Source organism: Homo sapiens, chromosome 7, assembly GCF_000001405.40.
Source record: "Homo sapiens chromosome 7, GRCh38.p14 Primary Assembly".
NCBI classification, from domain to species: domain Eukaryota; kingdom Metazoa; phylum Chordata; class Mammalia; order Primates; family Hominidae; genus Homo; species Homo sapiens.
Window position 1 is genome coordinate 155,707,479 of NC_000007.14, and position 13,562 is coordinate 155,721,040.

The window sequence follows — 13,562 nt, forward strand, 5'->3', positions numbered from 1 at the left end:
ACCATAGATTTTTTCCTTAAATGGCAGTTTCTCAGAATTATTAACATGTCCTCCATACAAAGCTTTCATAGTCTGTAGTTTAGGAATAAATCATGTACCTGTAATTTCAATTAGAATTTCGTTTGTATTTCAGAGATGGCACATCTCAGAAACAAAGACAGAAATTATTGATTTTTTTGTTCTTTTTTTGTTTTTGATACAGAGTCTCCCCTCTGTTGCCCAGGCTGGAGTGCAGTGGCATGATCTTGGCTTACTGCAACCTACACCTCCTGGGTTCAAGCGATTCTCCTGCCTCAATCTCTTTAGTAGCTGGGATTACAGGCACTTACCACCACACCCAGTTAATTTTAAAAATATTTTTAGTAGAGACTGGGTTTCACCATGTTGGCCAGGGTGGTCTCGAACTCCTGACCTCAAGTGATCCATCTGCCTCAGCCTCCCAGAGTGCTGGGATTACGGGCGTGAGCCACTGGGCCCAACCTATTCTTTCATTTAAGTTTTAGGGATTGTATGGCTTTTTACTTAGAAGTCAGTCTTCAAGGAAAAATTTACTTAATACAAATATGTGTCCACTGTGTCTACCACATGCCGTTTTTACATTTTTATCTGAATTTAGAGAAAACGACATTTCACTTCTGTTGAAATATTATATTTCAGGAGCCATTCATTTGTGAAATAACAAAGTAGAAGAGATAATTTTTGTTTTAGCATGAGAATTCCAACTCTGATATGTAAAGGGAGAGGAGTAGGTAGGCATACACAATTTGATGATACGAGGAACTGCTGTTTGCTTATACAGCTGTTTTGTTTTTGAGCATCTCTAACAGCAGAAAGGCTGGATTTACAGTTTGTCTTTTTTCCCTTCGTTGCTCCCTGTCTCCGCCGCAAACCTCCACTGGCCATATGTTGAATAGCCATTTTGATTATTTTGGCCTCTTTCGGGGCCAAACAACTCTCATACGAGGCCAGTGTTTACGTAATTGTGTCTCTGATCCTGGAAAAGTTGTTGAGCTCTGTTTTCTTACCCACAAAGAAGGGAAGAGCACGTATCTCTCACCTGCCTCCTTAGAGAGGCTGAACTGAGATGGCGTGAATGCTTTTAGAAATGTCATGGATATTCAGTTGTCCTCAATCCTGATGGTGACGTTGTATCTCTGGATTGTAATGTGACTGATTTGGACTGTTAGAGCCTACTGTGTACTAGGAGTAAACTAGACAGCTGCCCTAAGACTGACACAGCTTTGTAAGCAATAGTCTCGTCTTTGCTAATCAGTGATGAGATCAGGACTGTGGTATCCTCCGCTCCAACTGCGTTCTGTTACATCATAAGCTTTCTCCATCCTATTCACTCCCCATCCCAGAGCTATTTTGTCTCTTTGAGTCTTGACCCCCAAAGTTTTGGAAAGAATATTTTTGGCTCATGTCTCTGCTTGTACCCATTTTCTCCTTGGTTGGCTCTTTCCTGCCTGGATTCCGTTCTGTTCCCTGTCCTGAATGGTGCCCTCAAGAGATGCCACCTGACCCCTTGTCCTGTTGGACCGCACTCTGGGGCCTTGGGCATCACACGGTCTCTTTGTCTTGAGCAGCTCTTTTTTGGGCTTACGAGATTTTGGATGTACTCTCTTATCTTCTAGAATGATTTCTTCTTTCTCCCTTTTGACCTTCCTTTTTATTTTCAAATTAAACTTTTATTAAACTTCCTTTTTATTTCCAAATTAAACATAATATATGCATAAATATATTGCATATGTTTATGAGGTACAGTGCACTGTTACAGTATGTATATGTTGTGGATGGATTATAAAAAGCTAATTAACATTGGCATCCCCTTAAATACTTCCTGGTTTTTGGTATTGAGCATTGAAAATCTCTTTGAACAGTTTTGAAATGCCTTTTCTTTAACTGCATTTTTCTTCAGGTTTTGTTCTCGTCCTCCTTTTCCTCAGTGGTCTCCCCAGCACTGTTCCTCTTGCTGTCACCTACTGTTTCTCAGTGAGTCTTAGTCTCTAGCCTAACCTCTTTCCAGCTCCATTTTCTCCATCTCCCAACTGTCCCTGTACCTCTCCAGACACATGTTTCACAGGCCCTGAATGTCACTTGTTTAATCAAACAAACATGATCTTTCCCTCAGAACTCTGTGGTCTTGAATTAATGACCATGCATTGTGGTCACTCTCAGTTCAATTAAAATTTAACTTGGGTGTCCCTGTGTCTGTTAGTGTGCTGTCTGTGGGATACAATGGTGAGTAAGATAGACAAGATCCCTACTCTCATGGGCAAATGTGCACAGATGTGATGAGTTAAGGAGGGGGAAACATACTGCATTCTGGGAGCATGTGTGCTAGTGGATGTGAGCTGGTACCAGAATCTTTTGAAACGTCTTCTGTGAGGAAGGATAGGTGGGCCAAAGCCATTCACAGATTAGTTTTAGAATTCTACTCATTGTTCCTCTGAGATGTCTTCTTGCTCTTTGTCAGACTATGGCTTTTCCATTGATTCATCTCTCACCATTCCCTATTAGATGGTCTCCTTCCGTCTTCTTTACCCTCGTTCATCTCACACTGCTGTGAATGATCATTTTCCTACCAAAGAGATCATTCGTGATCCCTTATTATACGTGTTGTCTCTGTGGCATAGTAATGGATCATTTACTTGGAATTTAGAAGCCCTCCGTAATTTGGCATCATCTCAGGGAAAATGCTTGTTAAATTAGACAACTGAATAAGTAGTGGTCTACTGCTAATTAGCTGTGTCGTCAGTTTGGTTAGTGATTAAAAGCAAAACCTGTGGAATCAGATGGCCTGAATTCCAGTTCCGGCTTTTCTCCTTTCCAGCTACTTGATCTTGTAAAAGGAGGTCAGTAAATAGGACCTAGTTTATAGGATTGTGGGGAGCTAGGTCAGCTGACTTTCTCTACTGACCGTATAGTAGGAACTTAAAATGTGGGGAAGATTTAGTCCACGGCAGCTGTTGCAGTTGTTGATTTCTTCCTCTCTAGTGACTGTTTGATAAAATAACCACCCTCGAATTGAGATCTCTGATCACTTTGAGTGTGTAATTTTCTTACCTTCTTTCCTGCCTTCTTCCCTGGTCTCCTGATTTTACTAAGCAGGTGGGTCTGTGCTGCTTCTGCTTTTTTCTGGGTATCTGTCCCTCACTCTGCCTTGCACCTCTCTCTTCTTCATCACCGAGTTCAGGTGTCACCCTCTCAGAGAAGCTCCCTCCCAGCCTCTCCTGGAGGCTCTTTGTGGCCCTGTCCTGTTCTCAGGCCTCAGTTCTGGAGCAGGGTAACTGGTGCACATCTCCTGCCTTGCTTACCAGAGTTCCTGGAGGGGGATGCAAGGCTGCTACAGGGAGGGCTGTGGCAGCTGCTCTTCTGTCCCTGGCACAGGGCTTTGCTCAGTGTGGGCAGTTCAATTCCCTGAACTGAATTTTTTTTTTTTTTTTCAAAATTCACACTGGGTGCTTTGGGGCTGTTTTCCCTCTTGCGTGGGGATTGACTCAATTGTGAGACTGTAGCCCTCATTGTGAAGAAGTAGAGAAGCTTCTTTATCCTGCTGTTTTGATACAAGTTGTTACTACAGACTTCTTACATTGTAACTTAAAAAATGCAATCAGTGTAAATTTGTAACACATCAGCATTCTTTTAAATGTTGATTTCGGTGAACTTTTGTTTTTTTTTTTGTGATTTGTAGACTCATTCTCCAAGGTTAATTCCTCCACAGCCCCAGGCTCCCCCTCCACCGCCACCGCCGCCTCAGCAGCAGCCGATCAGAAGCCTGTTCCAGCCGCAGCCGCTGCAGCCGCTGCTTCCGGTGCAGCACCCGCACCACCCATCCCCGCCTCAGGGAATGCACATGCCTCCCCAGCTAGAGACCCCAAGGATGATGATGACCCCGCCACCCGTGACTCCACAGCAGCCCAAGAACATACACATCAACCCGCACTTCAAAGGGACGGTGGTCACGCCTGTTCAAGGTCTGTGTTTCCTTTTACTATTGTAAAGCATAGATGGCCCCAGCTTCCAATGGTTTGACTTAGGATTTTTCCACTGACGCGTTTTTGACTTCATGAGTGTGTGAAAGCAGTATGCGTTCAGAAGAAATCATCGTTCGAATGTTGAGATTTGATCTCTCCTGGGGTAGCAACATGCATCCCAAAACTCCCTCGAAGCTGGGCAGGGGGAGCTGCGGTTCCCAGCCCCGATGATTTTGCCAACTGTGCAATGATGTGAGTGTTCTGAGCTGAAGGTAGGTGAGGCTAAGCTATGATGTTTCATTGGTTGGGCATATTAAATGCATTTTGACTAAGGGTCTTTTCCACTAACGATAGCCTTATTGGGATGTAACCCCATCCTATGTTGAGGAGCATCTGTTATGTTATAGATTACTGTGCATCTGAAGGCATTTATTAGTTTATTGCACTGAAGCCGTCTCTGCGGCAAAATAGTTTTCACATTCAAATTTGTAAGATTGAGTTTTCCTTGGCTCTTCCCCATTCATTTAGATTTTAGTTTGATGGGTCAAGTATATTTCTTTAAAAATGTGTATCTCTTATTGTATAATTGAGTGGAAAGTGCTGAGAGTACAGTCTGAATGCAAAGAATACACTAGAGACCGCTATTGGAATGCCTGAACTGTGACACTTTGTAAGTCTCCCGGTGAGGATGTTTGCAGTGGTGAGTGTCCCTCTTTGGTTCCAGGCAGCATGCCCCCCTTCAATTCCAGTGTCAGCTGGTGGAGAGGGGACACACCATCTTTTAGTTGTTGTAATCAAATAAATACAGATCTGATTATTACTGAAACATGTTCCTTAAGCTAGGAAACGGTTTTTGAGCAGTTTATACGAAGCTTTAACTTCATGTACCTGTGAACACACACATTTATTGAGCTACTACTCTATTTTTGGCATTTGAGTTATATTGACGAACAAACCAGACAAAGCTTTCTTCAACCATGATATTACTTTCTATCAGACAGTCTTATTATTGTTTATTAGCAGTAAACATAAGTATTTTATGTGGCATGTTAGAAGATGAAAATGCAGTGAGAAATTGAGCAGGATGCGGGGAAGGGATGGGTTGTATCTTAAATGGGGTGATCAGGGTGAACTTCACTGAGCAGGAAAGAGTTGAGGGATATCTGTAAGTTAGCAATGTGGCTGTTCAGGGAAGAAGATTGCAGGCAGAGTGATCAGCAAGTATAAGGGGGCTTCCTCCAGGAGAGACCCTGCCTTGTGTGTTTGAGTAGCCAAAAGGAGACCAGCGTGACTTTTGTGGAGTGATCAAAGCAGAGAAGAAATGCAGAACCTGGGTACCGTGGGGCCGTGGGGCCATCCAGCCATTCTCAGGACTTTGGCAGGGAGTGAAATGGGCAGGGATTAGAGGGGTTTGAGCAGAGGAATGACGTGACCTTGTGTATGTTTTAGAAGATTCCTCTTGCTGCCGTGTTGAGAGGAGACTGTCGGGTGGCAAGGGTGGAAGCTGGTGTCTAGCTAGGAGGTGACAGATGATCCTGGTGCAAACCAGTGTGGTAGCAGGGAGAGTGCAGAGAGCTCAGAGCTGGATGAAGTAGGAAGATGGGGCCGATGGGATTTGCTGATGGATTGGATGAGTGTGAGAGGGAGAGAGGAGGTAAGAGTGATGCCCAGGTGACCAGAGCATTTAGAGGGCTGGTCTGGTTGCCATCACCTGAGGTGGGGAGATCAAAAGTTCTGTTTTGGGTGCATTAAATTTGAGATGCCAACTAGCCATGTGAGTGGAGGGGTCTAGTAGGCAGTTGGATGAGAATTCAGTATAGGGGTTTGGGCTCAAAGTACAGGTCAGGAGGTTGTTGGTGAATAGGTGGATTTAGACCCTGCCCTCAAATGAGAGCCCTGGAGGAGGGAGTCTGTGTGTGGGGAGACCAAGGACTGGGACCTAGGGCACTTGACACAGGAGGGGGAGGGGCAGGAGGAGAACCCGTCAGGGAGGCCAAGGACTGGGACCCCGGCACTCGACGTGGGAATGGGGGCAGGAGGAGAGCCTGGCAAAGGAGCCGAGAGGGAGGAAGGAGGATGACGGTCGATGGGGAAGGAAGCAGGTGGCCACGGGCTGGCAGGGCTGCTGCCAATGGGTCAGTGGGTGTGGCCTGCACTTGGGGCGGGGCTGGTGAGGAGGAGGCACAGGCCTGGCTGAGATGGGGCACGGACTTGAGGCCACTGTATTGACAGACTTTGACTGTGTTTTGCTAAAACAGAAGTTGGATGATAATTGATGGGAGCCAAGTGGGCTTGAGAGAAAGTTTTTTATTCTAAGTTTTTTATTCATTGCACTTACAGAAAAGAGCTAGTTAAGAAGGAAAAACATCATTGATGCAGATGAGAGGAAAAACTTGTCTTGTCCAGGACCACGTGCCAGAGGTGGGCTTGCTGAGGGGGAGGAGCAGGGAGTCCTCCACAGCTGGGGCAGATGGATGGGCAGGTGGAGGAGTCTTGTGTCAGTTCTTCCTTGGTGGCCTCAGTTTCCTCGGTGGGTAGCAGGGAGCTAGAGTGGGGAGGTAGGAGGGCGTGTTGAAGGTCTGAGGAGAGGCGCTTTGGAGCATCCGTTCGTGCTTTCGAAGAGTGGATGTGCGCAGGGATGGATGGGGCTGCTGAGCCCTTGAGGGGTGTGGATTTGAGGTGAGGGCAGTCAGCATGGTTGTGTGTCTCTGTCCAGCTGCGCTCATCTGCGCACACTAGGTGTGGAATAGGCAGGCAGTTGGGTTTATGAGGGTCATAGTTTTCACAAAGTAGTAAAGGGAAGGCAGTGCTGATAACGATGGGCTGTGGATCATAAGGTAGATGCCAGGGAGGAGAAGACACCAGGGAGGAGGCTGAGATGGTGAAAAGGAGATCATTGGAGATCTTTGTAGAGTTGAACGATTGTTTGAATCAGGATCCTAGAGGGAGTGAGATGGAAGGGTGGAATGGTCACCAGGACTGGAGGCAGAGGTGGCACGGATCTGAGGCAGGGCACGGCAAGGGCCGTCTTTGTGTTTATTCAGACTGGAGCTGAACTCCCTGAGAAATGAGAGGGCCAGTGTGGTGCTGGGGCATGTCAGCTGGTGGCATGAGATGAAAGCTGGGTCTGGAAGCAGCAGTTAGATCAAGAAGGAGCCCTTCTACCTCCAGACCTTTGGCAAGAAGCTGTGGGAGAACAGCTGCCACTCAGAGGGGCCATTAGAGCGAGAAGGTGAAGGAACTCAAGGGTGTGGTGGATGCTGCTGATGGGTGGGGAATTTGGGATTCCTAAGGGTGTGGGAGAGAAGTTTCAGAAGTGGAGAGTAGCCTAAGGTAGTAGTTCAAGTGCAGGGGATTGGCCAGTGGCCTAGATCCTGGGACCCTCCCATACGTGGGTGAGAAGTATTATGAAGTTGTCCTGTGGCCATGGAGCAGGGGACTGTGATGGTGACGGGCTGGCCCAGAGTGTAAGGGAGGGGGGCGCCTCTTGACAGTGTCTGCGGGTCACCACCAGGCCACTGGGCATGGCAGAGAAGCATAAGGTTTTAAAGTACAATTAACTCCTAACCCCTCCTGACCCCATCGCATGTCCCTGTGTTCCCCCAAAGTTTTTCCCACCCTGGTTAGCATCGCTCATCCACACATCCTCTTAGGTGGCCCTGAGCGTCGCTGATTGGTGTGGTGCCTACGTCTCCTGCAGTAGCCGTTGAATGAATGGAGACATGAACACACGCATACTTGAATGGGGAAGGGTGGCTTTCTTTCAAGTAATCCTTTGCATCTTCCCCATAGTGGTTGTCCTGAACTTGGAACTGCTGTCAGTCTAATTTGTTGGAATAATTTTGCTTATGCTAGCATCTGTTATTCTTGTGCATTTCCTTGTAAAATGCCGTGGAAAGCTGGCAGCTGGTAATACGTACAGATTTTCTTTAGCTTCACTAAAATAGTCTTAGAAATATAGGGTGGTAAAGCTGTCAGGAAGCCCCAAGATATCCTCTATGTATGAAAATGGTGTCCCCTGCAAAAGTCAACAGCCTGGCAAGTGTAGAATGCAGGCCTTGCACCCCAAAGCGCACGTGTGATTTAGCAACTACTCCAAGGTCAGCTTTCTGACAAAAGTTTTTAAACTCAGAACCAGCTAGCTTTTTCTCACCATGAAACTAGGAGCTTTAGTGCCGCATGTCCCTTATCTGTCATTTACCTTTGACCTTCAGAGGTACACTGACACAGGAGAGAAGGACAAAGTGTTCTTGCTAGGTAGATAGGCAACACTTTCGAAGCAGTTGTTTATTCTCTAATAGATGAATGAGCTTAAATAGAAATGCACAGTTCCTCTTGAGAGAGACTGAATATCAAGATGTCTCCTGTAGGTAAAAGATACACAGATTAAACCTTTGATTCTCAGAGCCTTACACAGATGAAAGGTGCTTTTTAAAAAAGCTAGCAATATATATACATCTTCTTCTGATGGCACAGACTTTCTGAGGATGAAGAGTGTTCCGTTATAATTTATTTAAAAACAATTTTGATGGAAATTTAACTTGTTTCCAGGTTTTTAGTATTATAATTATAATGAATTGAAAACAGTCCATTAAATACATGGGACAAGTTATAAATATTAAACTTCAAATATTCAAGTTGAAGCTTCAGCTAGACTGGTCTCTAACATCACACCTGTTAAATTCTTCGCTGCAGTAGTCGGGCAGCCAGGGCCTGGCAGGGAGAGCCCGCAGACACATGCCTGGGTATTCCCACTGAGGTGGCATCTCTTGGGTGGGCCAGGTGTCTGCACTGTTCCCATGGGGACTGGACTGTCCGCACGCAGCAACCCTTTTTGTCAGCTGTTTTTCCTTTTCTGCTGTTTTTTTTTTTTTTTTAAATAGGGAAAAGGCTGGTACTTTGTGCAAATTACCAGCTCATCAGAGGCTTCTGTGTAAGAAATCCATTTATTATAATCAGATTGCTTTCTAGAAATCCCACCTCACCTTCTTGCTCTCATTCTCCTGGTTAAAGAGGCTTAATGTTTTATCCTTTTATCGTGTTGGAATGTTTTGGTAGATATTGGCATTTAAATTCCAAGTTTCTAAGTGGTACCTATGATCGAGTTAGTGAAGATCTGGGTGTCTTATATTTGTTAACTTGATTATAAAAATCACGTCTTTACATTTAATATGTAGTGTTTTTCTTTGTCACCTTCATTATAATCTTCTGAGGTCAGAGATATTCTTGTTTTTTTCTTTCTCCACTTTCTCCAGTCTAGTGTTTCACTTTAGATATGGAATTGATGTAACATCAGCTGTGTAGAATTGAGGGGAGAGTTGGATTCTATTTTATATAAAGTCTTGCAAACTGACCCACTCTAATTTTGAAATTTGGACTCATTAGATTAGTCTGTCAAGGAAGGGATGAACTTCTGCCATTTTTACATTTTATAAAAGTAAGTTTTGTTTCAGTCACACTTTGCATTTGATCAAGCAGTGACACAGGCCATGTATGCTATCACTTGAAATTGAAGTGTGGGAAGTGCGATGTCAATTATAAGGCTTAATGTATGGAATTCCTTGAGTAATCATAGTAAAAAAAAAGTTTATCATAGCACCCTGTTTTTATAGTGATTCTGATGGACTTTTAAGAGGTATCACCTGTATTTCACATTTAGCAGAAACTTCTTAAATTAAAAAATATGCTTCGTTGTCAATTCCACCTGATGTGTACGAGTTTGCTGGGGCTGCTGTAACAAGCACCGCAAATAGGGTGAGTTAAACAACAGAAACTTATTTTCTCGCAGTTCCGGAGGCTGGAAGTCCAAGTTCGAGGTGTGGGCAGGGCAGCTTCCTTCTGAGGCCTCTCTCCTTGCCTTGTCGTTGGCCACCTTCTCCTTGTGTCCTCACGTGGTCCTCCCTCTGTGTGTACTGTCTATGTCTAAATTTCCCTTTCTTAGAAGGACACCAGGGTTGGGTTAGGGCCTAGACCTCATTTGACCTCAATTACCTCTTTTAAAGACCTAATCAGTGGAATCCAGTTACATTCTGAGGTACGGGGGGTTGGGGCTTCAACGTATACATTTGGGGTTGGGTGTGGGGGCGGGGGGAGGGAGTTGCAAACAGTTCAGCCCCACAGTACCTGACAATCTGAGAGCTTCCTAGGTGTATCTGCCAGCACATTTTGCTGTAAGACGTAGCTGCACTTAGATTGTGAGTTTCTTTGAAAATCAAGATCAGTATAGTGCATAATGAGTTTCAAAGAGCTTAAACACATCTGATTTAGCCTCAAGGTGTGAAACTTACATCTAGCTTCTTCTCTATTATGAGATACCTTTTTAAAAATGATTTGATTCCTTGTTCTGGTGGATTGATGGAAATCCTGCTTGTTTATAAACTAAAGTAAACTAAAAGCCTTGGCATAGGGGATTGTTTAGTGGAAAATTTTTAACAGTTTGTGAGCATTTTCTCCAATTCCTGGGATGTGCTGTTTTCCTTTCTCTGCCTGCCTCACTTCCCTTCCTCCCTTCTCTCTTTCATGATTCATGAGGATTGAGATTTAAATGTGTATATGAGTGGCATAGGAAAATATAACTGGGATTTGATAACCTGGATTATCTGTATAGGGATAGGAGAAACAAACTAGGTTTTTTATTTTAGAGGAATACTATCTTCTTTTGTTGCAAAATATTTTAATTCCAAATAATAGTCAACTATTGAGATTTAAACTTCTGCTTGCACTGCTGTGTACCGAAAAGGAAACTTCTGCTTTCCCCTTTTCTGTTATGGAATTGTTAAAAATACTAAATGCTTAGCTTAAGCGTAAGCACAATGTATTATATGTCTGGTACGCATAGTATATATTTTATATTAAACTTCATATGTTGTCTTACAGGGGTTTGAGTGTTGAGTAAAGTGTGTCTCTAACACAAGGGGTTTTTCTTGCAGTGCCCTTGCTACCAGTTCCGAGCCAGCCGAGACCTGCCGTGGGACCCCAGAGATTCCCAGTGAGTAGCAGCTGCTCCTTCTCCTTTGATAGGGATGAGCATACATTTACTAAGAAATATTAATATAGCAAGTGCAAGAGGTTCCAGCCAAATATAATTTTAAGGATTTGCAAATATTGACAATAATCTCTGCAATAGAAAATGTTTGTTAAAAGCTTAAGGTCAGTGGATTTTTGAGAGTAGAATTAATTTTGTTTAACTGTAAAATTGTTGAATCAGGATCATCAGTGGAATGCCGTTCGTCTTAAAGAATATGAATATTGATTTTATTATTGCCTTATGTTAGTGAGAAAGGGCCTTGCTTTATTAGAGAGGTGGGGGGTGTATGTGTGCATGCACGCACAGGCACGTGTGTTTGTGCATGTGTATTGTGTGTGAAATTCTAGGAAATGAAAATGAGAGATCTCTTGTATTTTAAAAGAACCTCTAGGGTCTTAATGAGCCACTCATTTTATATTTTAAAATGAAGGTTTTCACTTGAAAATACCTTTAAAAGAAAGCATATATTCTCTCTCTCTCTCTCTCACACACACACACTGTCATTCACTTATACACACACAGAAATGCACACTTTGCTGTATCTTCAGTAATTTTATCCATTCTTCTAACATGTTTTAGGTAGAAGAAAAAGCCCATTAACTAGTTATATTTGTTTAAATATATACACTTTATTTTATTTGAATTTTTGGTTCAGTGTGTAGTTTGTTCATGGTTTTACTAAACTAGAGAGTACATTTTTTTTTTTAAACAGTGTAGGGGAAAAAATGTACTGACCATAAAATTTTAATGTCATTTATATGTAAAACAGAGGTAGTCTTATTTAGGTTAAATAGTCTGATTTTCAGGGAGTATCTAAATGGCTTATTTAACTGTTTATCTTTGGTACTTCAGTAGATAACATTTATATATGGCATTTAGCAGAAAGGTTAAATGAAGGATGTGAATGTATAATCAGGTGATTATTCAAAAATAACATTATTGGATTTAAGGTTCAGAGTATTTTATAGAAATTTCTTTGACTTGTAGTTATGAATTATGACATGGTTTCTAAAGCTGGTTCTTCCTGATTTCTTTATGTTTAGCTAATGTGTTTCTATAAGTTATTTACCAAGTTCTAAAAATTAGTTGTTTTTAAAACATTAGATGATATTTATTGGGTATCTATTTGAAGCAGTTGTCTAAAAAGTCAAGTTTTATTAGATCCATTACCCAAGGCTGACATGTATGATTTTAGTCATTGAATACATTTCTTCTGTGGAGTAGTTTATCTGCTAGTTATTATAAAGCACTGACAAATACTTTTTGCTTTTTCAGGACTGTGATTATATCTGTGTTAAAATCATTTTTGGATGTGTTTTCACATTTTGTACTACAAGGATAAAATTTGATGTGAAAAGCATTTGCAGTTAAGATATAAACCTAAAGCAATGTAATTTATATTTTTGTAAAAATGTTTACTAATATAAACTTAGAATAGTCAATTGCAATTTTTATTTCATTTTTCAGTTGTGCAAGTATAATTGTATCTGATGCTAGGAATAAAACCTTAGAATACTTTGCCGCTATTAGAAGAGGATAATAAAAGAACATTTTTGTGAGAAATTGAACTTGCGTTTCAGTTATATAGTACTCTAAGCATGGTAAATATGTTTCAAGGCAGTTTTGAACAGTTTCTGCGAGGTGTAATGTTCAATTTTTGTTTTTGAGATGGGAAGTATGTGTGGGTGATCAGAAATAGTTGGGCTAGAAATGAGCTGTGTATGTGCATATAGCTTAAGAAGTGTTCTCTTCAGCCCAGGTATTTACCACGATTTAACACGTATCTTCCTTTAAGTCCCAAGTGCTGATGTTACAGTGAACTTGGGGTATAGCGCGTGCAGTGCACTACTTATTTCTCAAATCATTTTCCCTTAGAGAAAATCATGAAATGTGTATTTTTTAAAATACAGTAGCGGTATTGTGTTTTTAAAAAGCCCACCAGTCTTGTTGGGAAGGAAAATAAACTCTAGGCTACCTCTCGTTGTTTTACTTGTAAGCCAGATCTTCGTTGAGTAAAGTTATTTTTTTCTTTTTTCTACTACTAGATTAAACTTGGTTCCTGTGAATGTAAATGTAATTTTGTGAACATTTAATGAGGATCTACTTTATGTCAAGTGCTCTGCATAGTGCTGTCTCTAAGCTATAAAATGAACCAAGCATCATTAAATGAAACCTAACTTATGTCCTTGAAGCTAATTTTCATTTGAGTAAAATTTAAGAATAGTGAAGACAACATTGTTGTGGCTTAGCAAAGCCGTCTGGAGATTTCTTATTGGTGGCTGGAGGTGCTGCAGGCTCTGTCTTGGTTCTTATGGATGGCCGTATGCCCCTCAGTTTCTATCCTGGTGGTTTTCTGTATTTGGGGTTCAATCAATATTTGTCAAACCTAATTTTGCTTTAAAAACTGACTACACACACGCACACACAAAGTGATGGAACATTGAACTTCAAATGTAGCAGGTGGTCTGTTTGAGTCAGTGTGCTTCTTAGTACGCAAAAATAGATTTGAATTCAGAAATCTGTGTGCCAGTTGTTATGAAATTTGCAATTGAGCAAAT

At 42.1% G+C, this 13,562-nt stretch overlaps 1 protein-coding gene across 1 annotated transcript in view; it reads left to right on the plus strand.

Moving 5' to 3' along the window:
• RBM33 (RNA binding motif protein 33) overlaps positions 1–13,562 on the plus strand; it is a 136,820-nt gene that overhangs the window by 62,818 nt on the left and 60,440 nt on the right. The window contains exons 8-9 of the mRNA NM_053043.3: positions 3,725–3,977; positions 10,907–10,965. Coding sequence (NP_444271.2) covers positions 3,725–3,977; positions 10,907–10,965 — 312 coding nt within the window. The remainder of the gene's footprint in view (positions 1–3,724; positions 3,978–10,906; positions 10,966–13,562) is intronic.